Below are 27,553 nucleotides of genomic sequence, written 5' to 3' on the forward strand. Positions count from 1 at the left end.
ATAGAAAACAGACTTTCTCTAAAACAGCTGTTCATATGTTTATGTTTCTGCTTTGGTGTGCCACATGTGGCGTGGCTGGGACATGGTTTGTTTGTCCCCACCAAAACTCGTGTTGAAATTTGATCCCCCATGTGGTGGTGCTGAGAGGTGGGCCTAGTGGGAGGTGTCTGGATCATGGGGGGGATCCCTCATGAATGGCTTGGTGTAAGACTGGATTAGTTCCTGTCGGAAAGGATTAGTTCCAGTGAGAGTGGGTTGTTTATGAAGCTGAGACATCCCTCAGGTTCTCCCTCTTCACATGTGTTCACTTCCCTTTTGACCTTCCCTACCATGTTATGTTGCAGCATGGAAGCTCTCACCAGAGGCCAGGGCCATGCCCTTGAACTTCCCAGCCTGCAGAATTGTGAGCCAAATAAACCTCTTTTGTTTATAAATTACCCAGTCTCAAGTGTTCTGTTATGGCAACACAAAATAGACCAAGATCACATGGTTTCACAGAGTCTGGAGCAGTGATTTGCTTCTGAGGTTAATTTTATAATACAAACCTAAGTTGGAGGTGGTGGCTCACACCTATAATCCTAGGACTTTGGCAGGCTGAGGCAAAAGGATTGCTTGAGGCCAGGAGTTTGAGACCAGCATGGACAACAAAACAAACCCTCTCTCTACAAAAAAAAAAAAAAAAAATTTAAAGTTAGCTGGGCATGGTAGTGTGCATCTGTAGTCCTAGCTAATCAGGAGGCTGCGGTGGGAGGATTGCGTGAGTTCAGGAGTTCAAAGCTGCAGTGAGCTATGATCATGCCATAGCACTCCAGTCTGAGCAACAGAGTGAGACCCTGTCTCTAAAAAATAAGAATTGTTTTCATTTTTTTATAGACTGTTTCTCAGTGTGGCTATAATAAATTTTTTTTAAAGTTAGAAAAAAGAATACAAAACTATAATAAAGTATGAGTATTCTATTTTTCTTTATTCTTTTTGTTTTCATCATTATTTTATTATTCTCATACTTCCAGAGCATTAGTTACTAATACTAATCATCTAATGGTGCTACAGTACAGTAGAGATGTTCTAAAAGCACGTGCAAATAGGCATTAGTCTGCCATATCTTTATTTTATTTCCAACCAGATAGATATATACAACCTGTGAGAAACAAGACTTATTTACCAACTACCTACCTATTATATTTCACCAAATCAGACAGGAAAGGAATTGAGAGGCCCCAAGTACAATTTTTTAAATCCTGAATTATGAAATTTGATTGCCTATGTCATTTAAATAAATTGGATAATCATGACACAGTAGGATACATCCATTTACTAATGACTTTATAATTTGTTGCTTTTTATTATTTTATTTTAATCTCACAACAAGTCTGAAAAGGAGGGAATTCAAGTATTATTGCCATTTTACAGATGAGAAAGCTGAAATGTCTCAGCAAAGTTATTTCAGTTTCATAGATTGGGCCATTGCTATAGAGGGCTGATCTCAACAATTTTTCCTAATTTCATTCTCAAAGGATAGTCTTTGCTTCACTTAGACTTTGCAGGTACCTTCCCCTTGACCCTGTGTACCCACTATAGCACCAACCTGAATTAATAATGAAAACCTTTTTGGAATGCTACTAGTGGTAGTGATAGGGTAATGGAATTATGAGTGGATTGTTTTCTTGATCTATTCTCTATTTTCCAATGTGCCTTTCTCTCTTTTTTTTAGAGACGGGGTCTTGCTATGTGTATCAGCAGTCAGAGTTCTCCAGAGGGACAGAACTAATAGGATAGATGTATATATGAAAGGCAGTTTATTAAGGACAATTGACTCACACAATCACAAGGCAAAGTCCCACGATAGGCCGTCCGCAACCTGAAGAGCAAGGAAGCCAGTTGGCTCAGTCTGAGTCACAAAACCTCAAAAGCAGGGAAGCCGACAGTGCAAACTTCAGTCTGTGGCCCAAGGCTGGAGAGTTCCTGGGAAACCACTGGTGTAACTCCAAGAGTCCAAAAGCCAAAGAACCTGGAGTCTGATGCTTCAGGGCTGGAAGCATCTAGCACAGAGGAAAGATGAAAGCCAGAAGATTCAGCAAGCCGTCTTATCCCACCTTCCTCTGTCTGCTTTGTTCCAGCCATGCTGGTGGTCGATTGGATGGTGCCCACCCACATTGAGAGTGGATCTTTCTCTCCCAGTCCACTGACTCAAATGTTAATTTCCTCTGGCAACACCCTCACAGACACACCCAGAAGCAATACTTGACCAGCTATCTAGGCATCTTTCAATCAAGTTGACGCCAAATATTAACCATCACACTATATTACCCAGGCTGGTCTTGAATTCCTGCCCTCAAACGATCCTCCCATCTCAGCATCCCAAAGTTTTGGGATTACAGGCATGAGACACTGCTCCCAGACAAATCTTTCATTTTAAGTTATTTGGAGTTAGAGAGGCTGAGTTCAGAATATTCACTTCTGGAAGGGCTGACCTCCCTTCTACCTAAGCCTGGTCCCCAGCACCACCAACCCTTGCACATGTGTGTGCAAGGCAGGGGCAGCAGCACTCTGTGAGCCCCAGCTTTTCTCCAAGACATGGCAGGCATTTGAAGACCATGCCCCAGGGATGGATGCTTCACCCAACTGATACACTCCAGACTGGGCTTACTTTTTAAATTAAGTGGCCTCAGCAACCCAGGGGTGTAATTTCCCACGTGCTTCCATGAAGGAAGTCTTGGGATTTGCTATAAAGAGAAAAATAAATAAGAATGGACTTTCCAGCCCTGACCATTCCCTCCCCACTCCCTAATCCATTTGGCCAGAATAGGGAATAAGAGGGTAGAGAAAAAGGGGGGAGAATGGAGATGAAGAGAGAAAGGAAGATCCTAGAAGGGGAGGAGTAGAATTAATAGACAAAAAAGAACTGGAGAGCCCATCCTCTTGCCGTCCCACCTCCTAGGCTGGAGAAGAATCTTGCCTGGTACTCTCCAGAAATCTTCTCAAAGGCAAGAATGCAAAGGCTAGACCACCACATAGGCCAACAAGCATGTGCTTAGTGGATGAGGAAATAGCCTGTACTACTGCAAGTTCTCTGCTAGGGAAAGACACAATTTGCAGAGCTGGCCAACTCTGAGAATTCTGCTTTCATGTTCAACAGTTAGGAATTTGTTCAGGCTGACTCTTGGCAAATATCAAATCCCGGGTATCAAAGAAATTTGCTCAACAAATTCTTAGGAAGCCTCCTGGGCAGGTGGCCATGAACACTTCCCTATTTGCAGATCTACCCAAAGGGGACCAAACTGCAGAGGTGGATTCAGGAAGAAAAAGCAACAGTCCTACTGTTCCCTCACTCAAGAGATAGACTTAAGCAAAATTGTCTAGTATGTGACATTTGTCTTCTTTCATCTCTTTCCTGAATCTCCCTTTAAGTTTCAAGCTACACTCAGCTCACCAGTAGTTACCAGCCCTCCCAAGACCTTCCTGGGCCACACCCGAGTCCCACTCCCTTCAGCAATTCCCAGAGCCTCTCCCCTTCCCCAGTCTGAGCTCTACTCCCTAAGGAACATGTGGTCCCATCTCACTCTCATTACCAGGTCCTAAGCACACCCATCACGGCCCCCACTTCCCCCACCACCCCCCAACCCTGCCAGCTTCCCCAGCAATTTCTGGAATACCACGCTGAGGATCCTTAGATTTTTATCTGTGAGCCTGATTTAGCCTATAAACTGAAAGAAGGGTGGTGGTTTTCTGTGTTCTTTAATTCCAGTATGTAATAAATTATGCCTGTTTTTGTTGTTGTTGTTGTTTTGAGACAGTTTCACTCAGTCGCCCAGGCTGGAGTGCAGTGGTGCCATCTTGAATCACTGCAACCTCTGCCTCCTGGGTTCAAGCAATTTTCCCATCTCAGCCTCCTGAGTAGCTGGGATTGCAGGCACACACCACAACGCCCAGATAATTTTTGTATTTTTAGTAGAGACGTGGTTTCACCATATTGGTCAGGCTGGTCTCGAACTCCTGATCTCTGGTGATCCACCCACCTTGGCCTCCCAAAGTGCTGGGATTACAGGCGTGAGCCACTATGCCTGGCCTATTATGTTTGTTTTAATGAATCCTTTAATAAATGAAGAAATGACCAAATGAATGAATGAATCTTCAAGACATTCACCAATATATTTTTATTAAAACTTAATTTGGAGAGAGAGAGAGAGAAAGAGAGAGACAGTGTCCAGAAACTAATAACAAGACATTCTCCACTGCACCATCACTCCAGATGCACTGCTGAATGCAGGGACTAGGAGGAAGGCTCTTCTCCCAGGACAGGCTGAGTGAATGTCCTGGGAGAGGGGAAAAGTAGAAGAATGTGGTCATCTGAACACTAACAAAAAGCTTCCAATCATGGATAAGACATTGTAATGCCTTTGTACTGGTATCTGTTAGTTAGGACTGGCCAGACTTGCCTTTGTATAGAATGATGACACTATCAACAGAGAAGTTTCCTGGGCAGAACAACTGCTGACAAGACTCACTGTCTGAGCCACATGAGGGCATATCAATTTTATTTGGTTCCCTGACAGCTTGTACCGGGGTTATGTATGGCACCATGGGTGGCCATAGTTCCTGCCAACATAATGTCTGGAGGGGTTCCCTCAAATAAACTTGAGTTACCCAAATCACTTTTGGTTTACAGCCATCATTGCCAATTTATCTATGGATATGTGTATGTCTTGGATTTGGGGGAATAGTTTCAATTTCAAACCCTGTGTCCTATTGCTAGGCTTTAAGTCAGGCCAGGTGTCCTGGTATCCTTAGTTCTAAAAATTCTCCTCATAATGGCATACGGTTCTACTTGCACTTACGAGTTTTTTAATTATTAAAAAATCTTTCCACTATAAAAATAATGTAATCACATTATTAAAAATGTTGGAAAAGTAGAAAGAAAAACATATCACCCATAATACCACCATCCTGGTATATGGGTATACTTGTGTATAATTTTCCCAGCATAAAATAAATATACAATTTTATATCTCACTTTCTCCAACCCACATTACAATGTCTTTTTTTCTTTGTAGAGATGGGGTCTTGCCATGTTGCACAGGCTGGTTTGAACTCCTGGCCTCATGTGATCCTCCCACCTTGGCCTCCCAAAGTGCTGAGATTACAGCTGTGAGCCACCACACCTGGCCAACATTACAATTTTAAAAACATTTTTAGAAACATTTCTAGTAAAACTTACTAAGGATAGCATTTTAATGGCAGGATATTTCACTTGGGGTTTACTAAAATATATTAATCATATGTCTATTTGTTTATACTTCTGCACTATTAATAAATCTGCAATAAATACCATTAGACATATATTTTCTGTATTTTTATTTTTCCTTGGTTTAGATTCTAGATGCTGAATTATAGGCTCAGAGTATGAATATGCTCATGATCCTTGATGCATGTGCAAATTGCTTTCAAAAGAGGTTTTATCAATTTATACAGTCATCAACAATATCTGAGGGGGTCTGTTCCATATAATCACCACCAACAAACTAAAGTGGTAAAGTTTTGAAATGATTTTCATGATAATTTCATTGAACAATGGCCCCCTACTTTAGTAGGTAAAGTACAGATACAAGATGAATAAAAAACAGATGCTATACTGAAGATGATAAACTGAAGAGCGGTGTCATTTAAACCACGTATTAAAAAATAAAAAAACCCTTAAATGATGCTCCAAACCACAATTTCCAATGATGTATCTATGGACTGCTAGGAAACAAAGCAATGGCTGTCACATAAACTGGAATGTAGCAATCACAAACAGGGTAGCTTTCTCAGAAAAGGCTTTTGCAGATTTGAGTCTCAGGCTAAACTCCAAACAGCTCCAGGCATACTGCCTATTCGAAGGGCGCACTTTCTATGCAAATGCCACAGAAAGCACTGTTGCCCTATGTTGGTCTTGTCAGCTCTAGTCACAGATGCTGTATGTGGGAATGATGCTATTATTTTCTAATATAGCAATAAATAGGAGATGACACAAACCAAATAGCTATTTATTGAATAAGAGAAGGGGAAACCACATTTAATGAGCACCCGCAAAGAACCAGTCCCTTTCACATTAGTCTTGTCCATTTCATAAGCCTGGGTCCAGTGTGCTGGCCCTTCAGCCTCACACCGCAGTTTGGAAAAACACATTCCAGGGGAGCAGAGAGACTGAGCTCTGGGATCCTACGGCTGGAGCTCCCTGGGCTTCTGAGTTTCATCCTGGCCGCTACATCTCTCTAGGAGCTATGGAATAGCAGTGCTTCTACCCCTCAAAGATGACAAAAAAGTATTTGTGAAGCACCACTAATAGGCTAACTGCTGATTCATGGCAAATGGGTAGTTACTCACCTTCCTTACTGGAGGACTCTTGTATCTAGGTACTACTTTCTTTGAAAATTACTGCAGCTTTTAACATTATGCATTATAATCTTTGATACATATATATTTATTAATTTCAGCAACTTGTTGTGAGGTTATTAGTATATTTATATGACACTCTAGAAAACTGGTCCAATTCTTGATAGGTAAAAATATGATCAGGCTGGACGTGGTGGCTCACACCTGTAATCCCAGCACTTTGGGAGGCTGAGGCAGGTGGATCATGAGGTCAGGAATTTGAGACCAGTCTGGCCAACATGGTGAAACCCCGCCTCTACTAAAAATACAAAAATTAGCCAGGCACAGTGGCGGGCGCCTGTAATCCCACCTACTCAGGAGGCTGAGGCAGGAGAATTACTTGAACCCGGGAGGTGGAGGTTGCAGTGAGCCAAAATCGCACCACTGCAATCTAGCCTGGGAGACAGAGCGAGACTGTTTCATAAAAAAAAAAAAAAAAAAAAAAAAATCAAATATGGCCCTTTTTAAGATTTTAAAGGTAAATTTCTGATAACTGTCTGTGACTAATTTTAGTTGAATAAATGCTTGTGAATCATATGGACAGCAGAGCCTGGGCTACTGAGCAGATTCGGGGTGGAGTCCCAGCCCTGCCACTTGCCAGCCTGGTCAGTTACCCAACCTTCCTTAGCCTATTTCCTCATCTGTAACTGGGGCAGAATAATAGACACATTATTATTATTGAGAAAGCACATGTAACATTCAACACAGGGCCTGGCACACCATAAATGCTCAATAAATATTAGCTATGTTTTTCTCAACTATTTGATGGACTCTCTAATAATAATGTTATTATTTATACATAATATATAACAAAATATATAATGTAATAACACAAATTATACATATATTATTATACATAATATAAATTTTTTTGAGATGGAGTCTCGCTCTGTCGCCCAGGATGGAATGCAGTGGCTCACTGCAACCTCCACCTCCCAGGTTCAAGCAATTCTCCTGTCTCAACCTCCCAAGTAGCTGAGACTACAGGCACACGTCACCATACCTGGCTAATTTTTTGTACTTTTAGTAGAGACAGGGTTTCGCCATGTTGGCCAGGCTGGTCTCAAACTCCTGACCTCAGGTGATCTGCCTGCCTCGGCCTCCCAAAGTGCTGGGATTATAGGCATGAAACACTGCGTCTGGCCTATTTTCTCATTTCTGATAAACATGTTGACCTTTAAATTTTCAACCATTGGGCTTATTAGGGAGTCAGGGGATTTCATACCCACACATGAAAATTTGTAGGAGTGCTGGGCACAGTGGCTCATACCTATAATCCCAATGCTTTGGGAAGCTGAGGCAGGAGGATCACTTGAGGCCAGGAGTTTGAGACCAGCCTGGCCAACAGAGCAAGATCCCATCTCTATGTGACATCTCTATGGGAAAAAATTTTAAAAATTATCCAACCATGGTGACATATGCCTGTAATCCTAGCTACTCAGGAGGCTGAGGTGGGAGGATGGCTTGAGCCCAGGAGTTGGATGTTACAATGAGCTATGAGCCACTGCACTCCAGCCTAAGCAACAGAGCAAGATCCTATCACTATTAAAAAAAAAAAGAAAGAAAAAAGAAAAGGAAGAAAATTTATGGGGGCAATAGTGGTTATAGAAAGACTTTCACTAGCTGGGCGCAGTGGCTCATGCCTATAATCCTGGCACTTTGGGAGGCCGAGGCAGGCAGATCATGAGGTCTAGGAGTTCGAGACCAGCCTGGCCAATACAGTTACACTCCGTCTCTACTAAAAGTATAACAATTAGCTGGGCGTGGTGGCTCACGCCTGTAGTCTCAACTACTCGGAAGGCTGAGGCAGAAGAATCGCTTGAACGCAGGAAGCAGAGATTGCAGCGAGCCGAGATGGTGCCACTGCACTCCACCCTGGGTGACAGAGCGAGACTCCATCTCAAAAAAAAAAAAAAAAAAAAAAAAAAGACTTTTACTAATATCTGTATCACCCGCATTTAATGTTTGTGGAAATAATGTTACCTTATTTCCTAATAAGTGTAAAGGGCGCATTTTGGAATGACAATGGACCTCTCTTTCATCACTGACTCCTGGTAAATATGTGTGACTTAAGCTACTTTGGGTGTTCAGGAAACATGGCTGGGCACAGTGGCTCACGCCTGTAATCCCAGCACTTTGGGAGGCCGAGGTGGGCAGATCATCTGAGGTCAGGAGTTCGAGACCAGCCTGGCCAACATGGTGAAACCTCATCTCTACTAAAAACATAAAAATTAGCCAAGCGTGGGTGGCACACACCTGTAATCCCAGCTACCCAGGAGGCTGAGGCAGAAGAATCGCTTGAACCTGGGAGGTGGAGGTTGCAGTGAGCCAAGAAGATCGTGCCACTGCACTCCAGCCTGGGTGACAGAGTGAGACTCTGTCCAAACAAAAAAAAGAAAAAAAAAGAAACCTATAAGCAAGAAAGGAGCTGATCACCCTCAAGGAAACACAAAACTATAATCCCAACATAACTGGTAACTTTTCCTGTGGCTTTTGAGTAGCAGTGGGGCATCCTTGATGACTGAGAGGGAAGGATACCACTCACAGGCCAGAAGACTGCCTTGGCAGAGTCTGTTTCTCTCTCTCCTATGGAACCAGTCTGGAGAAATCTTCTACCCTCCTGATGCTGCAATTACTTTTCTACCTCACAGACTGGGGACATTGAGGGGCTTCTAGTAATGTGACTATTGCTTTTTTTTTTTTTTTTTAGACTGGGTCCACTCCAGGCTGGAGTGCAGTGGCACGATCTCAGCTCACTGCAACCTCCACCTCCCAGGTTCAAGTGATTTCTGGCTAATTTTTGTATTTTTAGTAGAGACAGGGTTTCACCATGTTGGCAAGGCTGGTCTCGAACTCCTGACCTCAAGTGATCTGCCCACTTTGGTCTCTCAAAGTGCTGGGATTACAGGTGTGAGCCACCACATCCAGCCAGCTATTGCTTAATTAAGCACCTTCCCCCTAAAGGTAACCTGAACTTCATGGTTCAAAAAGGTCACATTTCACAGACATGTTTGGGAAGCATTAATACAGCTATTTTAAGTTGTAATAATAAAGACCGTATCACTCTTTTGAAAGCAGTAAAGATGGGTATGACACAACGGATCATCATTAGTGGAGTCTGGACTCTGCGTCAGGTACTCCATCTTCATTCTCTCTAATCCTTACAGCAACCTAACAAGGTAGGACTATTAATCGTACTTTAAGGTAAATTTACTCATTTTACAGACAAGGAATCTAGGATCCAGAGGGGTTAATACTCCCCTAGTAATAAGTGGCAGTGCTGGGATTCAAACTCAGCCCCGTTTGACTTCAAAGTCCCTGCCATTCCCATTTGGTCCTCTTTTATCCTGGTTATGCCTAGGGATTGTCACTGGGTAGGTTCTGCTTTGTGAAGAACTAATTAGGAATTGAACTTGGATGGCACTGTCAACTTTCACAGCGAGCTTTGTACAGTAAACTGTGACAAGAACCTGACAGCTCCATGGGGTAGGTTTCTTGGCAGAGTATCTAGGAGGGAGACCAGAGTAATCTCAGCTATTATGAAGCTCTGCCCTGTCTGTGGAGAGTTTTAAATGTCCATGAAAGACAACGGTTAAGGGACCTGAGAGGGTCTGGAAACTCTTTACCTTCAATATGGAGACCTATACATGGAAAAATTCTCTTGCTAGAAAGGGAAGGATGGATGTGGCAAGAATGCAAGTGGACAGCAGCCCTTCAGGCCCACGGAAGGAAGCCAGGTTCAGCTGCTAACGAACAGCTCAGAACAATGTCAACAACCAGGAGCTGGGGCCATGGAGAGTTGAAAGAAACAGCACTATAGCAGGCGGTTAAGTCTGCCAGATTTAGCAAATCAAAACATACAATGCCCAGCTAAATTTGAATTTCAGATAAACAACGAATTATTTTCTAGTGTAAGTATGCCCACGCACCATTTTATCTGGCAACCTCAGCAGGGGGTGACTTCCTGGGCTGCATTTGGAGACTAACAGTAGGGAGCACTCCCTCCATGAGGCCTTGGGACAATGTATACAGGATGGGTCATACTGTGGGTGGATGTCAGTGTAGAAAGTGAACTTGGGAAAGCTTATTGTCTTAATAGGGAGCCATGTAGCCCCTAAGTCCTCACATTGCAACCTAGGGAGGGACAAACCATCTGAGACTGCAAGAGAGGTAAATGAATTTTTAGGCTGAGGTGACTTAGAAATTTTCATCATTGAGATAAAGGCTTCACACTTAAGGTTTGATCTGTTCTTCAATTAAACTTCTTATTAATAATATAATTGGAAGCAGTCTATGAAAAAAGTTCTTAATAGGATAACTTGTCTGGTATTTCAGATATTCTCATAAATGTTAGGAATGAGGCAGGCTGTATGAGAATTCACTTTCTTTTTCAGGCCGGGTGCGGTGGCTCATGCCTGTAATCCCAGCACTTTGAGAGGCTGAGGCAGGTGGATCACCTGAGGTCGGAAGTTCGAGACCAGCCTGACCAACATGGAGAAACCCCCATCTCTACTAAAAATACAAAATGAGCTGGGTGTGGTGGCGCATGCCTGTAATCCCAGCTACTTGGGAGGCTGAGGTAGGAGGATTGCTTGAACCTGGGAGGCAGAGGTTGTGGTGAGCCGAGATGGTGCCATTGCACTCCAGCCTGGGCAACAAGAGTGAAACTACGTCTCAAAAAAAAAAAAAAAAAAGTAAACCATGCTATAAACAGATGTACTGTCATCCAGGCTTTGTTGTTCCATTTATATAGCGCACAGGCAGAGCAGATTTAGCATAATTCTTAAAGGCCCTAGAATTTTGAGAACGCTAAATAAGCACTGACTTCCACTGAAAGTCACAGCTGTGTTAGCCCCTACCAAGAGAATCATCCTGTCCTTGGAAACTTGAAGGCAGGCACTGATTTCTCTTCTCTAGCTATGAAAGTCTTAGATGGCATCTCCTTCAAATAGAAACTGTTTCATCTTCAACAAAAATCTGTTGTTTAGTGTAGCCACCTTCATCAATTATCTTAGATCTTTTGGATCACCTATGCTTCATCTTGCACTTTTTTGTTAGAGATGACTTCATTACTTAAACCTCATTAACCAACCTCTGCTCGCTTCAAACTTTCCTTCTGTAGTTTCCTCACCTCTCTCAGGATTCAGAGAATTGAAGAGAGCTAGGACTGTGATCTGGATTAGGCTTTAGCTTAAGGGAATGTTGTAGCTGGTTTGATTTGTCCAGACCACTAAAATGTTTTCCATATCAGCAAGAGGGCTGTTCTGTTTCTTAACATTCAGGTACTCACTGGAGTAGCACTTTTAATTTCCTTCAAGAACTTTCCCTTTGCCTTCACAACTTGGTTAACTGTTCGGTGTAAGAGCCCTAACTTTTGGCCTATCTTGGCTTTCAACATGCCTTCCTCACTAAGCAAAATCATTTCTAGCTTTCGATTTAAAGTGAGAAACGTGCAACTCTTCCTTTAACTTGAACACTTAGAGGTCACTGTGGGGCTATTAATTGGCCTGGATTTCAATATTGTGTCTTAGGGAATTGGAGGCGCAAGGAGAGAAAGAGAAATGAGGGAACAGCTGATCCGTGGACATCAGAACACACAGGACATTTATGGAGTTAAGTTTGCCATCTTATACAGGTGCAGCTTGTGGCTGCCCAAGACAATTACAATAGTAACATCAAAGATCACTGATTACAGATCACCATAACTGAAATAATAATAATGGAGGGCAGGTGTGGTGGCTCATGCCAATAATCCCAGCACTTTGGTTGGCCAAGGCGGGCAGATCACTTGAGGTCAGGAGTTTGAGACCAGCCTGGCCAACATGGCAAAACCCTGTCTCTATTGAAAATACAAAAAAATTAGCTGGGCATGGTGGCACATGCCTGTAATTCCAGCTACTTGGGAGGCTGAGGCAGGAGAATTGCTTGAACCTGGGAGGCGGAGGTTGCAGTGAGCAGCGATCACACCACTGCATTCCAGCCTGGACCACAGAGTGAGACTCTGTCTCGAATAATAATAATAGCAATGGAAAAGGCCAGGCGCGGTGGCTCATGCCTGTAATCCCAGCACCTTGGGAGGCCGAGGTAGGCAGATCACCTGAGGTCAGGAGTTCAAGACCAGCCTGGCCAACATGGTGAAACCCCGTCTCTACTAAAAATATAAAAACTAGCCAGGTGTGGTGGTGGACGCCTGTAAACCCAGCTACTCGGGAGGCTGAGGCAGGAGAATTGCTTGAACCCAGGAGACGGAGGTTGCAGTGAGCTGACACAGTGCCACTGCACTCCAGCCTCGGCGACAGAGTGAGACTCTGTCTCAAAAAAAGAAAAAATAGTAATGGAAAAGTTTGAAATACTGTGAGAATTACCAAAATGCTATTAGAAAAATGACTTGCTCAAAGCAGGGTTGCCACAAACCTTCAAATAGTAAGTAACACATCTGTGAAGCACAATAAAATGAAGTATGCCTGTAATGAATTTTATATTTATTTTTTAAGTTTCTTGTTTGCTTATTTATTTATTTATATTTTTGAGATGGAGTCTCACTCTGTCGCCCAGGCTGGAGTGCAATGGCGTGATCTCAGCTCACTGCAACCTCCACCTCCTGGGTTCAAGGGATTCTCCTGCCTCAGCCTCCTGAGTAGCTGGGATTACAGGCAACCGCCATCATGCCCAGCTTATTTTTGTAGAGACGGGGTTTCTCCATGTTGGCCAGGCTGGTCTTCTCCTGACCTCAGGTGATCTGCCTGTTTTGGCGTCCCAAAAGTGCTGGGATTACAGGCGCAGTGGCCCACACCTGTAATCCCAGCACTTTGGGAGGCTGAGGCAGGCGGATCATCTGAGGTTGAGTTCCAGGCCAGCCTGACCAACATGGAGAAACCCGGTCTCTACTAATAACACAAAATTAGCCAGAACTGGTGGTGCATGTCTGTAATCCCAGCTGCTCAGGAGGCTGAGGCAGGAGAATCGCTTGAACTCGGGAGGTAGAGGTTGCAGTGAGCCGAGATCGAGCCACTGCACTCCAGCCTGGGCAACAAGAGCAAAACTCTTGTCTCAAAAAAAAAAAAAATAAACAAACAAACAAATAAAAAAGTGCTGGGATTACAGGCTTGAGCTACCATGCCAAGCCCAAATTTAAAAATCAAGTTCCATATGAGTGGCTCCAAATACCCTCCACTAATCCTCGGTGCAACTTACAAATATGATCATTTTCTTCTTTTTTTTTTTGACATGGAGTTTCGCTCTTGTTGCCCAGGCTGGAGTGCAGTGGTGTGATCTCAGCTCACTGCAACCTCCACCTCCCGGGTTCAAGTGATTCTCCTGCCTCAGGCCTCCCAAGTAGCTGGGATTACAAGTGCCCACGACCATGCCTGGCTAATTTTTTATATTTTTAGTAGAGACGGGGTTTCATTATATTGGCCAGGTTGGTCTCGAACTCCTGACCTCAGGTGATTCACCAACCTCGGCCTCCCAAAGTGCAGGGATTAGAGGTGTGAGCCACTGCACCTGGCCAAATATGATCATTTTCTAAGAAGAAAATGACATGGGAAAGGTTAGAAAGTTTGCCTTAGAAGATGGTGAGACAGTCCTATCAAAAGCTGGTGGAAGAGAATTCAAGCTTCAGAAAGAACAGATGCAATGATCCTAAGGCAGAGGAGGACTTGATGGACCAGGGGTGGCTAGTCTGCAGCACAGTGCGGAGGGGAAAGAGGGGTAATGCCAGGGCCCACACATGTGGAATTTAACCAAGAGCAGTGGGAGGCCACTGAATGGATTAAGCAAGAATGCAACCTAATCTGATTTATATTCTATAATCTAATCTGTGTCTGCTTGGTAGCAAATAAAATACAGAGGTGCAGGAGTGGAAAGAGAAAGGTCATACAGAAAGTTACTGTTGAAGGGCAGGTAAGAGATGAGAAGAGGAGTAGGTCATTCTGATAAGCATTTCAGAGCAAGACCAATAGACTGGCTATCGGGGTGAAAGAAAAAGAGGCTCAAGGAGGCTGTCTGTACTTTTTGGTTTGAGTTGAGTAAATGGTAGTGCTATTTACTGGACAAGACTGAGGGAAAGGACAGTTTTAGACAGTGTGGATCCAAAGCCTCAGGATAAATGATCCATATTTTTCTTTTGTTTGAGACGGAGTCTTGCTCTGTCGCCCAGACTGGAGTGCAGTGGCGCAGTCTCTGCTCACTGCAACCTCCGCCTCCTGGGGTTCAAGCAATTCTCCTACCTCAGCCTCCCAAGTAGCTGGGACTACAGGCGTGAGCCACCACGCCTGGCTAATTTTTGTATTTTTAGTAGAGATAGGGTTTCGCCATGTTGGCCAAGGTGGTCTCCAACTCCTGACCTCAAGTGATCAGCCCACCTCAGCCTCCCAAAGTGCTGGGATTACAAGTGTGAGCCACCACGCCTGGCCAATCCATATTTTTCAACAAAGTACAAATACAGAGAAAGAATCTGTAGATTATAAGAGATTTAAGGGGCACATCAATCATCTATTTGACTCCTATGATACATACTAAATTATCTACAGATGAAATAATGCAGGCTGGGATTTGCTTCAAAATAATTCAAATCGGTGAGGTAGAAGTGAGTAGAGTATAGAGGGAACCCAATATTGGTCATGAGTCAGTAATTTCTAAAGATGGGTACAAGGGGTTCATTGTTTTATTCTATTTTTCTACATGATAATTTCCATGTAACTGGATGAGATCACCTAATAAAAAGGTACAGCAAATGATCAGGGACAGGAGAAAAAACAGACAAGACCACCATTACCTCAGAGGTTATATTCTTTGGGGAGGAACTGGACAATAAGCAAGTGAACAAATGATAGATGTAAATCAATGTGATAAAAAGGTGATGTGAAATCAATGTGATAAAGTGTGCATGGAGATAGCATTACAGTGACCAGAAGCATCTCCATGAGGCAGTAATCTTTGCAGTTGATTGACAGGAGCCAAGCAGATATGAATAGCGTTGCTTTTAAAATCCTTTCCATTCTACTTTTCTACTTATAAACAAATCTAAATTCATGGCCATAAGTACTCTATTCTAAGGAAAATATTTTAACTTAAAACCTTTTGCTCCCATCCTCCCCATTTCTTTTTTAACTGCAAATGTTGAGGCCATTATTAGCCCAAGAATTCTATTTTTTTTTTTTTCTGAGATGGAGTCTTACTGTTGCCCAGGCTGAAGTGCAGTGGCAAAATTTCGGCTCACTGCAACCTCCACCTCCCAAATTCAAGCAATCCTCCCACTTCAGCCTCCCAAGTAGCTAGGATTACAGACGTGTGCCACCATGACGGCTAATTTTTATTTTTAGTAGAGACAGGGTTTCTCCAGGTTGGCCAGGTTGGTCTCAAACTCCTGATCTCAAGTGATCCACCCACCTCGGCCTCCCAAAGCGCTGGGATTACAGATGTGAGCCATTGTGCTGGGCCTGAGTTCTAGTAAAGCCAATTCAGGACTGACCCGTAGGGCCCTGTGAGAATCCCTTCTTGCTCTGGCACCTCTCCTTCCCCATTATCTAGACTCTACAGTTCACCTCTCTCATTAGCTATAGTTTTTGCCAATCTTGGGGCTCCAAAGTCCCTCTTTCTTTACCCCCTCCTGGTGCTACTTCCCTGTGCAAAGCAGTGCTTCCAGAGATCATAAGCCCCATGAGGGCAGGAACACTGCTTGTGTTATTCACTGCTGCATTCCCAGCACCCCTGAATTGTGCTGAGCAGAGTTGGCACTCAATAAATATTCATTCAGTGAGAAAACTTCCTGAAGCCACTAGGAGGGTAACCAGTCACCTCTCCAGGTGCTTAAATACTTGAACCTACTAGAAAGAATTTGTGGCCTAACTTCATAGAGATAAATATTATTATTCCCATTTCACAAATGGACAGACAGCTGAGTTAGTTCAAATCATCTAAGATCATAATTACTCTACCTAAAATGGTCTGACCCTTGGTTAGAAATATTTTTTAAAGCCAAGAAGTAGAAGCTATTGAAAAATCCAGCATACAAAGAAAACATTACCCATGTCATTTAACATTTCTTGAAGATATGATGCATTTAACTAATGCAGAACAGCCTTCCTGGATAAATCCAACAATAAATATTTCGGTTTCCTGAAAACAAAACAAAAAACAAGCAAAATAACTCATCTTGGCTTGAATTATAGGAAATTCTTTGCTGGCAGCTCGGTCCAAGCTGATTGCATATGTGCTTTTAGGATAGGATTAGAGATTGCATGTGTTCTGCACAGCAACCATGGACACTTAACATTCATGAAATAATAATGAAACGGGAGGCCTGGATTTTTGTCTGTTTGTTTCTCCTAGGTCTCTTCCTCACTTAAGTGACCTTGGACAAATCCATTTCTTCCCTCGTATCTGATTTCCATGTATCTGTTTCGGGATAATGTTTATCACTAAGCCGCTTTGTGAGATCTTCAGATTACAAATAATTACTGCCCTTCATTTATGAAATTTTCCTCCTTCACTACCCTACGGGATATTTGCATGACCCTTCCATTGAAAACCTTTACACACAGTTGTGAAGCGTCAATACCATCTAGGGACGGTTCAGAGGTTCCAAAGCCAATCAACTGACAAGTCGTGAGGATAACTTGGGCCATGAAAAGTCCGTTTCCTATGCTACTGAGAATTGGAAAACAGGTATATGTACTAATTCCCAAACCACGTTTGCCTTCTTTCTGCCGTTTTCAGCCTCTTCTAAACTATGCAGAAGCTGCGGACATTTGACTATCTATATTCGGCAATTCCTTTCCAAAGCAATCCTACCGAAAACAGATCACACGGCCCCCACGGGCGGGCAGGACAAGCCACCAGGCCCTGGTGCAGGAGCTGCGCGCTCCACACATTGTTTAGAGGCCGACGCGACACAGCCATCTTGCGTCGGGGGCCCGGGCCCGGGAGGAGAGCGAGCCCCGTCCCCTGATCCCGGAGGCCAACACCGGCGAGGGGCTGCCCTGCACGCAGGCGGCCGGCCCAGGAGTCTTAGCGGATCAAGTTGTCTACGGCGGACTCGGGCCGGTCCCGCAGGACCCGGCCGCACTTGGCCGAGCGCGCAGGCGGGAAGGAGGCCGTCGGTCCGCCCCTCCCGCTGCCGCAGCGGCCAGGTCCGACAGCGGGCGCGGGACGCTGGATTCCTATTTGCCAGCTTCCTGCTGGGGAGCGTTTTCCAATGGGGCGCGGCGACCCGGCCGACCGCGTCCTCCTCCCCCACTGCCGCCCGGGTCTCCTCGGGGGCGCGCGCCGGGGCCCGCGCGGGGGCAGCCCCTCCCTCCCCTCCCCGCCGCGGCCCGAGACGCCCGCAGGCCGGGCGTTCACCCGCCGCGCCTCCGCCCGCCTTCCCCTCCCCCCACTTCCCTCCGGGCGCCCCAAACCCGGGCTTCGGGGGTTCGACGCCGTGCGCACACGGAGCGGGATGGGAGTGCAGGGCCGGGGGCGGGGGCTGGCCGGGTGCGGGCGGCAGTCTCGGCGGGAGCCGGCGGCCCCTCAGCGTGTCTTTTGTGTTTGTACACACACGGCGCGAGGCGGCCTGGAGGAGGGAGCGGGCGGCGCGCGGGGGAGGGGCGAGCGCGCGCCAGCGAACGGGCGCGCGGGGGGAAGGGCGGGGGCGGGGCGCGAGAGGAGCTATGGGGGCGGGGCCGAGCCTTCCCTCCATTGTGTGTGATTGGCTGGCGCGCGGCGCGGGGGCGGGGCGGCGTGTGTTGGGGGATAGCCTCGGTGTCAGCCATCTTTCAATTGTGTTCGCAGCCGCCGCCGCGCCGCCGTCGCTCTCCAACGCCAGCGCCGCCTCTCGCTCGCCGAGCTCCAGCCGAAGGAGAAGGGGGGTAAGTTTCCCCGTCTGCCCGCTTCCCCGGAACCGAGCCCCGCTTGCCGTCAGCCCCGAGCCGGGCCCTGGCGGTGCCGGGAGGGGACCCATAGCCCCTCCGGCTTAGCCCACAAACTTTTTGGCCCAGAAATGGAGGTGAGGAGCGAGTTTCCCTGTTCCCTCTGGCGGCGGCGGCTCCCCCGTCTCTCGCCGCCTCAGCCCAACAGCAGCAACCGCCGCGGCGCCGAGCCTGCTCTCCCTCCTCCTCCCCGCGCCCCTGGCTCCTCTTTCTTCGGTGAAATCCCGCCCGCCGCCCCTTCCCCGGACCCCAAACCTTCACCATGACCCGCGCGGGCCTCTTAACTACCGCCCCCGGGCCCCAGCCCCCAGTTTTCGAGCGGGAAAGGGGTGGAAATCGCCGCCGCTTCGCACCCTGGGGTAACTCGCTTTTTGCTGCCTCCCCACAGTTGTTGCTAAGCTTCACCATCTTGTCTCTCTTCTCTGGTCACCGACCATATTTTTTCCCCCGTTTCTCTCTTCCCCATTTCAAAAAAGCAAGAATTTTTAAAAGAGGGACGTTTTTTTCCCTTTTTTGGAGAGGCGGAAACTTGATGCATTTGAAATGCAAAAAAAACTTTTGCATTTTGGAGGGCGGCACGTGGCAGGGGATAGGGGTATTTTCGAGCGATTTGGTGTTTTGTCTCTTTGGAACGGAATCGGATACGTTTTGCGATTGTTTCCATTTTGTTCTGGTCGGGGAGCCGAGTTGGTTCCTGCTCGAGGCGCTGGGAGCGAGGCGGGCAGGTTGGGGGACCCTGTGCCGAGGGACCCGAAGGAGGCAAAACCAAAAGTTTATGTGGTGCTTGGGGTGGACCGGTCGGCGGATGTCGTGCGTTAATTAAAGCCTGGGTGCGGGGCACTTTTTATTTCACTGCGAAGCCTGTGAGGACTGGACGCGAGGACGGGGCTTTGTAGAATGCTCGCTGGTGGTAGCTGTTGTTCCTCTCTTGTTTTTTCGAGACGCCTTTTTGTCAACATAACTGTAAAGATGCAAAACCAAGAATATTTTCAGATATTTACAGCAATCCATCAACAGTCAGACGAAGGGGGGGCAGCCAAAGTGGGGGGGAGTAAGACCTTTTTTTTGCTGTAATTTGACTCGACCTTCCAGTGGTTTGTGCCTTTTTTCTTTTGACTTGTTTGTGGATGGAATGTTTACAGACATTTCTAATTACTGCTTTAATTAAATAAATTGGATCAAAGGCCGTTCGAGGTATTTTTGTTTTGCCGTTTGTCGCTCAGAATTGGCATTTTGAGAGGTGATTGATACTGCTAACAATTTTCTAGTACTCTAGTTTGTTTCAAGAAGAGATTTTGGGTAGACGTAATCTTCACCCTTTCAAATTATATAACAATACGAACATTATTTTTTATACTGATCATAATTTCCAGATTTGGGGAGGGGGTGATCGTGGCAGGAAAAGTTGTATGTTTGGTAGTTGCATATGGTGATTTTTGATTTTTCAATGCTGGTAGGTAAGTAAGGAGGTCTCTGTACCATGGCTCGTACAAAGCAGACTGCCCGCAAATCGACCGGTGGTAAAGCACCCAGGAAGCAACTGGCTACAAAAGCCGCTCGCAAGAGTGCGCCCTCTACTGGAGGGGTGAAGAAACCTCATCGTTACAGGTATTAAAAAACAGGAAAAAAATGGGACAAAGTCTCTCTTGTATGTATCCACATAATTTAACAAAAAGATGGATAACAGGAAAACTTTTTGCTTTAGAGAAACTTTTTTTTTTCATTTGAACACTTAACTACTGCTTAAATAAATGTACTGTATGATCATTTATATATAAAGTTAAGTATTAGGTTTTATTGAAAACGTTTAACTTTGAAGCCATAATCTTACCTGGAGGTCTAAGGAGACCTCGTATATCACTGATAATGTTAATGGGATATATTGACATTTTAGTTAACTATTAGTAATTCTTTAAAAATAGTTAAGTGTTGCTTTCTTGAATACACTTTTGAGGTTATCTTTCCTAGTTTTTGGCAAAATAATAATATAATCGAGATTGGGTGTTTTATAAAGTTCCTACCCCCTCATTTACTTGATTAGCTTATTTCCTTCTGTATTAGCTCTTTTGATTGTGAACTACCTGAGCCACTGTGTTGTTAAGGGCATCTGCCATTAGAGGGCAGAAGTTGCCTAGACTTAGCCTCCGCAAATATTACGATTAACCTAAAATAAAAGCTCATACAGTGGAAGAAATAAGTCAGAATGAGAGGTAAATTTCTTGCTGACAATTACTTAGTAAAAAAAACTTTTCCACGTGGAAGGAACACTGCACAATCGGGTGTATTCAAATTTAATAGTTGATGAGGGGTGAACTGTAGTCAGGGTAGAGGTATTCTGGGAAATAGAACTTGAATGCCACAAGCAGATTTTTAAATGAAGTTCATTGGGTTGTGTTGGTCATCTTTAAGGGCTCTTAAGATAATAGAGGGTGTAGGGAAGGAGAGTGGTGCTAAATTGAGGGGAGCCAACTTCTTCATTAGCCTGACAGCTAATACCTTCCCAAGGTTTATATACATGAATAACTTTTTAAAATGAAAATAAATAGGGCTTTGATGAATTTCTTGCTAAGAATGCATTTTAATTTCATGCTTTTTGCTTTAAAGGTATTGTTACTAGATTTGAATGTTCACATCTTAAGTTGATCAGTGAAATTTGATACTGAAGCTGAAGAATTGTTGGGTGGCTTATTTTTTGAAAGATTACTGCATTTCTTTGAAGCTGCCCACTTACCTTTTTGTGCTAGTTATGTTTTTGGTAACAGTTTCTTTATTAATTTTTTAAAGGCCTGGTACTGTGGCGCTCCGTGAAATTAGACGTTATCAGAAGTCCACTGAACTTCTGATTCGCAAACTTCCCTTCCAGCGTCTGGTGCGAGAAATTGCTCAGGACTTTAAAACAGATCTGCGCTTCCAGAGCGCAGCTATCGGTGCTTTGCAGGTAAAATGGTGGGTGGGAAGACTCAGAGTTTGTATTCCTGTTGTGTACCAAGAACAGTTCCAAATTGTTGCATGTGCTTATATCATTTAATCACAAGCCTGTCAGGTAGTTGATATTGTTACTTCACTGTTGAGACTTCAGAAAGGTTAAATTGCTCAAGGTCATACACGTAGAAAATGGCAAAACCATAATTTGAACCTATTTGACTCCAAGGCTTAGTGCACATTCCATTATACCATTTAAAATTTTGAAACATTGCACTAAAAACAATATTTAAAGAAAATCCTCTGGTTTGGTTTATGGATGCTGCAGGACATTAAGAAGAACTTGAGACTAGAGGTCTATATTTGTAGTAACAATTTCAAACAACAGTGCCTAGAATAAAAGAAATGTCTCTTCAGGTCCTGAAGAAACATATAGGTAGAGAGAGCTTAATACCTAGGATGGGAATAGGCAGTATTAAAAAATTATGCATTAAGACGTAAAAGGAGCAGTGAGTGGAGGATAGGATTGGATTGGCAAGATTGGGGGAACGGTGCTTAAAGGTGATACTGGACGTGTAAAGGGGCCAGGATTTGCCTTGTGGTTTCCTAAAGGGGATTAGGGATTGCCACTTACATGTGGAGCATATTGAATTTAATCTTAATCTCTAGCATGTCAGGACTTAGAGAAATACTGTTCTAGAGATATTTATGTATTTGAGATATTTGTGGTTTAAGTTAAGACCAAAACTTGAAATTCCTACAAGATACTTGATAAAGGTATGTAGACGTCATTAACATCAGTCACTTAAGTAACCTATTTTATATTGTGTGGTTGGATTCTTTAGTTGCAAGTATCCCAGAATACAGTAAAGCTACCACCTCCATCAGAAGCATGCAGTTGGGGGTCGTTAAAAATGCTGATTGTTAGGCACCATTGCAGACCTGAATCATTCTGGGGGTGGGGAGGGGGCATCCAGAATCTAAGTACATTCCATTGGAGGATTTTCAAGGCTGCTGTTGCTGTGCTGGGCTTTTGCTTTATGTATGAGAAAGATAGGATAGGTGGATTCCACCCTGAAGTGTAATTGGTCGAGCTGTTTCTATGGTTAATCTAAACTTCATTTGATTGGTGAATTCCAGGAGTAGGCATCCATTAAATTCTCAGTGAGTTGCTGAAATTTCAACTACTAAAATCTTCCATGTTTTTACTTAAAACTTTATTTTCTGTTTTAATAGCCGATTATCTTCAGTTCTTATTTATTACTAAATACAGAAATGTTACTAAGATTCGTAAGCATTGGTACAAAGCTGCTAATATTTTCTAGTTAGAACTGTGCTTAAAGAACAATACTGTACTTGAAAAGTGTAGCGTTTTTAGCTTAAATGTCAATAATGTAGCCTTTTAAATTGAATTTACTAAACAATCTGGGTAAAAGACTCATCTTTCTAAAATTATTCACATGTAAACTTCCATTGTTACTATTACATATTTGTCATTAAGTGTGGTTGTATTGGTTTTAAGCAAAATGTTCACCTCTTCTGTCCACAGTTCTCTTAGTGTTAGATAGCTCTTTATTGGAAAGAGTGATCTTTGTTAAGCTTTTGTGTTTTCTGTTTGCTTTTTTATGCATATATTTTAGTTATCTTAAAAATACAGAGAGTGGGCCGGGCGCCGTGACTCACATCTGTAATCCCAACACTTTGGGAGGCTGAGGTGGGTAGATCACCTGAGGTCAGGAGTTCCAGACCAGCGTGGCCAACATGGTGTGAAACCCCTTCTCTACTAAAAATACAAAAAATTAGCTTGGCGTGGTGGCAGGCGCCTATAATCCCAGCTACTAGGGAGGCTGAGGCAGGAGAATTGCTTAAACCCGGAAAGCAGAGGTTGCAGTGAGCCGAGATGGCGCCATTGCACTCCAGCCTGGGCAACAAGAGCAAAACTCTTGTCTCAAAAAAAAAAAAAAGATAACAGAGGGAGAATTTGTTAATGGAATAGGATAATAGAAGATCGCAATTGAAGTAGAAATCCAAAGGTCCTTTGTTTTTGGCCTTAGAATTACACACTTTACAACTAAAGGATAGCAGGCAGTCCAGTGAGAATGGTAGAGGAGAAATTAGTCTCAGTTTGCCATAGATAATCAATAATTGACTTACTTAAAATATAGTCTTTGCTTTTAATGTCTGAGAACTTGAACTCAAATATTCTTGTGTTAAGTGGACAGTGTTGCTTTGAAATGGTAAAGAGGCAGACGTTGAATATACTCAAAATGTCCTAAACTAATACTTTCTTGTAGTTCTTTTTTTTCTTTGCCATTAAATCAAAATTAATTCATTAGGTCATAAATTAGTGTGGCAGTCTTTAATTCCCATTACAGCCTTAATGTTTTAAGGGACTTTGGGTTACTTGTAATAAAATTGGAAATGTATGGGTCATGGTCAGATCCTCTCGTAGGAGTTCAGTCTCCTCTCAGAGCTGACCAGACACAATCCTTATAAACTAGTAGCCAGGTTCTAAGACAGCAGTGAGAGCCCCAGCTACCACATGCCACATCTGAGTGGTTCTAAGTGATACCACTCTGAAAGGCCACCAGAACCATGGTGCCTGATGGTTTGCTTGCATAGTAGCTTGTACCACATTTTACAAAAGCATTCTAGCTTTCTGTAATCCCGAGGTGCCAGGTTAAGCAAAATTAAACTGTTTTCTTTCCTGATATAATAGCTGATATGCGTTGTGAGCCCCTAAGGAGGCTACAATATGCCATTTTTTCCAGGATTTCTACCCACTTCTAGAATATCTTAAGAACGAATCTCGGAATATTAAGGACTTTTGCTTTTAATACCTGTGGAATAGGTAAGATGCGAGGGACTACTTGCATAGAATAGAAACATTTTTTAAAACTAGCAAATATTGAAAATCTACTTGAGGACAAGGCATTTGGAGTATTAAATGAGATTTCTGTTATCAAGTAACTTAAGGGCACCAAAAAATGGCTGATAATGCAAGGTCATTGTGAGTGCCAAGGAACTAGGAGTTCAGGGTTGCCTGCACTGGCAACAGGAGCAAGAGACAAGTATGCGATTTTCTCCTTCATGGAATAGTCTTGAGCTGGGCCTTAAAGGGTAGATAAGTAAGACTTAGTTGTTAATAACAAATGCTGGAGAAACACACGTGAAAATAGTTCAATTTGAATGAAGGAAACTTGTAGAAGAGTAGTGATAGGGCTAAAAAGGATGAAGCTAGAAATGTGAAAGTACCTTTTTTTTTTTTTTTTGAGACGAGTCACACTCTGTCACCTAGGCTGGAGTGCAGTGGTGCAATCTCGGCTTACTGCAGCCTCCGCCTCCCGGGTTCAAGCAATTCTCCTGTCTCAGCCTCCCAAGTAGCTGGGACTACAGGCACATGCCACCACGCCCAGCTACTTTTTGTATTTTTAGTAGAGACAAGGTTTCTCCGTGTTGGTCAGTCTAGTCTCAAGCTCCTGACCTCGGGTGATCTGCCTGCCTCGGCCTCCCAAAGTGCTGGGATTACAGGCGTGAGCCACCACGGCACCTGGTCTGGAATTTTTTTTATTAGAATAAAAATGCAACTATAAGACTGTTTTCTCCCTTAATATATCTTCAGCAGAGAAATAACTTTTCCTTATAGAAAAGGAGAGAGAGCCAACTAACCTATCATTTCATGCTCCAGATCCAAAACTGTTGGATTTATGATTATTTTTTAAAATGGTAATTTCTCCATTTCAAAATGAGTAAGCAGGCCGGGCATGGCGGCTCACACCTGTAATCCCAGCACTTTGGGAGGCTGAGGTGGGCAGATCACCTGAAGTTAGGAGTTCAAGACCAGCCTGGCCAACATGGTGAAACCCCATCTCTACTAAAAATACAAAATTAGCTGGACGTGATGGTGCATGCCTGTAATCCCAGCTACTCGGGAGGCTGAGGCAGGAGAATTGCCTGAGCTCGGGAGGTGGAGGTTGCAGTGAGCCGAGGTTATACCACTGCACTCCAGCCAGGGCTACAGAGCAAGACTCAAACCTCAAAAAACAAAAACAAAAAGAGTAAGCAGATGTTTTGGCTTAGACTAAAAGATTCTTCAGCTTTTCAGACAGCTATAAGTATACTAAGAATTTGAGTTATGAGTTAATTCTAAGTGGAAACGCCCCTTTTTCCTCTTCACAAGTTAAGTGTCAATGAGTGATTCATACACTGTCATTTTTAAGTGGTAGTAGGAATAAGATAACTTGAAAGGATCTTACAGTCAAATGGGAAAAACCAGAGAAATCGATACTAGTACTAGAGGGCAACAAATGCTGTTACAAATTGGGGTACGTAGAGGAAGGTACTTGGTAGAGGACAGGGGCATGTTTCCGGGGCATAGATCAAAGTATATAAATAAGGAACTGCCAGGCCAGTTGCGGTGGCTCACTCCTGTAATCCCAGCACTTTGGGAGGCCGAGGCAGGAGGATCACGAGGTCAGGAGATCGAGACCATCCTAGCTAACACAATGAAGCCCCATCTCTACTGAAAATTAGTCAGGCGTGGTGGTGGGCGCCTGTAGCCCGAGCTACTCGGGAGGCTGAGGCAGGAGAATGACATGAACCTGGGAGGTGGAGCTTGCAGTGAGCTGAGATCTTGCCACTGCACTCCAGCCTGGGCAACAAAGAGAGACTCCGTCTCAAAATAAATAAATAAGGAACTGCCGGGCGCGGTGGCTCACGCCTATAATCCCAGCACTTTGGGAGGCCAAGGTGGGTGGATCACGAGGTCAGGAGTTCGAGACCAGCCTGACCAACATGGTGAAACCCCTTCTCTACTAAAAATACAAAAAAGTAGCCAGGCATGGTGGCGCATACCTGTAGTCCCAGCTACTCGGGAGGCTGAGGCAGGAGAATCGCTTGAATCCGGGAGGTGGAGGTTGCAGTGAGCCGAGATCGCGCTACTGCACTCCAGCCTGGGCGACAGAGTAAGACTCCATCTCAGAAAGAAAGAAAGAAATACGGAACTAACTTGTGATATGTTCTGGAATCAAAAGTACTCTTATGATAAAACAGGTATGAAAGGGAACATAGATGAGAAGCATGTGATAAAAACCACTTGTTCACCATGTTATACTACTGGACAAGGCAGAGGTTCACATACTGTGTGAATGGGATTCAGAGTGAGGAGGAGACTAGGCTGGGATGGGGTATTTGGATTGGACATGATTGCGTTTATAAGAATGAGAGTGTTAAATTGGATTTCTTGCTTTATTTGTGACATTTCAGTTTATTAGAAATCATGTTACCATTAGAAAAATTGAAGTTTCCTAGTAACAAAGTAATTTGATTTGTGTAACTTGATAAAAGATTTACTGACTTAAGCTTTTGTTTTTTTTCATAAGCTGCTTTTGAGCTTTGTCCCACAGGTTGTAAAATGTAAGCATTTGGTAAAATTGTCAGCATCTTGCCCAGTCATTTTTTTAAAGGGTTCAAAAACCTTTTTGTTTTAATTCGTATAGTTGGGTCTTAACTATTGGAAATAACATCATCAGTAATTTTTTCTTCATTCCTTTTGCAGGAGGCAAGTGAGGCCTATCTGGTTGGCCTTTTTGAAGACACCAACCTGTGTGCTATCCATGCCAAACGTGTAACAATTATGCCAAAAGACATCCAGCTAGCACGCCGCATACGTGGAGAACGTGCTTAAGAATCCACTATGATGGGAAACATTTCATTCTCAAAAAAAAAAAAAAAAATTTCTCTTCTTCCTGTTATTGGTAGTTCTGAACGTTAGATATTTTTTTTCCATGGGGTCAAAAGGTACCTAAGTATATGATTGCGAGTGGAAAAATAGGGGACAGAAATCAGGTATTGGCAGTTTTTCCATTTTCATTTGTGTGTGAATTTTTAATATAAATGCGGAGACGTAAAGCATTAATGCAAGTTAAAATGTTTCAGTGAACAAGTTTCAGCGGTTCAACTTTATAATAATTATAAATAAACCTGTTAAATTTTTCTGGACAATGCCAGCATTTGGATTTTTTTAAAACAAGTAAATTTCTTATTGATGGCAACTAAATGGTGTTTGTAGCATTTTTATCATACAGTAGATTCCATCCATTCACTATACTTTTCTAACTGAGTTGTCCTACATGCAAGTACATGTTTTTAATGTTGTCTGTCTTCTGTGCTGTTCCTGTAAGTTTGCTATTAAAATACATTAAACTATACCTGCTTTTGGTCTTTATTATAGCCTTGCCCTACAATTATATTCCAAATAATTTCAGTATTAAGTCCTTTAATAGTCACTTTATATCTGAGACGTGAGACTT

The 27,553-nt window shown here is 43.7% G+C and overlaps 1 protein-coding gene and 1 long non-coding RNA gene across 6 annotated transcripts, besides 4 other annotated features; one reads left to right on the plus strand and one right to left on the minus strand.

The window, feature by feature from the left end:
- Window positions 1–1,779: 1,779 nt before the first annotated feature.
- H3-3A-DT (H3-3A divergent transcript) lies at window positions 1,780–17,944 on the minus strand. Its single transcript, NR_185887.1, has 2 exons — window positions 16,439–17,944; window positions 1,780–2,039 (listed from the first exon to the last, which is right to left on the minus strand). It is a non-coding gene; the product is annotated as a H3-3A divergent transcript (long non-coding RNA).
- Window positions 17,280–27,468, plus strand: H3-3A (H3.3 histone A). 5 transcript variants are annotated; one of them, NM_001379043.1, is made up of 5 exons: window positions 17,280–17,543; window positions 18,184–18,260; window positions 19,783–19,928; window positions 21,105–21,258; window positions 26,800–27,468. In NM_001379043.1, exons 3-5 carry the CDS (start codon window positions 19,801–19,803, stop codon window positions 26,926–26,928), a joined length of 411 nt encoding a protein of 136 aa, NP_001365972.1. In that variant the 5' UTR covers window positions 17,280–17,543; window positions 18,184–18,260; window positions 19,783–19,800; the 3' UTR covers window positions 26,929–27,468. The 5 variants fall into 5 exon arrangements, with proteins under 5 accessions (NP_001365972.1, NP_001365975.1, NP_001365974.1 ...); NM_001379046.1 differs by lacking the exon at window positions 17,280–17,543 and adding an exon at window positions 17,719–17,833 and having other exon boundaries at window positions 19,778–19,928; NM_001379045.1 differs by lacking the exon at window positions 17,280–17,543 and adding an exon at window positions 17,719–17,833.
- Window positions 17,284–18,133: a silencer, noted in NCBI's record as "silent region_1869". NCBI's record gives its function as "represses an Ori minimal core promoter by ATAC-STARR-seq in GM12878 lymphoblastoid cells {active_cell/tissue: GM12878}" and the evidence as "EXISTENCE:reporter gene assay evidence [ECO:0000049][PMID:35858748]".
- Window positions 17,720–17,885: a silencer, noted in NCBI's record as "fragment chr1:226249972-226250137 (GRCh37/hg19 assembly coordinates)". NCBI's record gives its function as "represses an EF-1alpha promoter that drives an FKBP-Casp9 reporter gene in an ReSE screen in K562 erythroleukemia cells {active_cell/tissue: K562}" and the evidence as "EXISTENCE:reporter gene assay evidence [ECO:0000049][PMID:32094911]".
- Window positions 18,504–18,573: a silencer, noted in NCBI's record as "silent region_1870". NCBI's record gives its function as "represses an Ori minimal core promoter by ATAC-STARR-seq in GM12878 lymphoblastoid cells {active_cell/tissue: GM12878}" and the evidence as "EXISTENCE:reporter gene assay evidence [ECO:0000049][PMID:35858748]".
- Window positions 19,767–19,836: an enhancer, noted in NCBI's record as "active region_2645". NCBI's record gives its function as "activates an Ori minimal core promoter by ATAC-STARR-seq in GM12878 lymphoblastoid cells {active_cell/tissue: GM12878}" and the evidence as "EXISTENCE:reporter gene assay evidence [ECO:0000049][PMID:35858748]".

Source organism: Homo sapiens, chromosome 1, assembly GCF_000001405.40.
Source record: "Homo sapiens chromosome 1, GRCh38.p14 Primary Assembly".
NCBI lineage: Eukaryota > Metazoa > Chordata > Mammalia > Primates > Hominidae > Homo > Homo sapiens.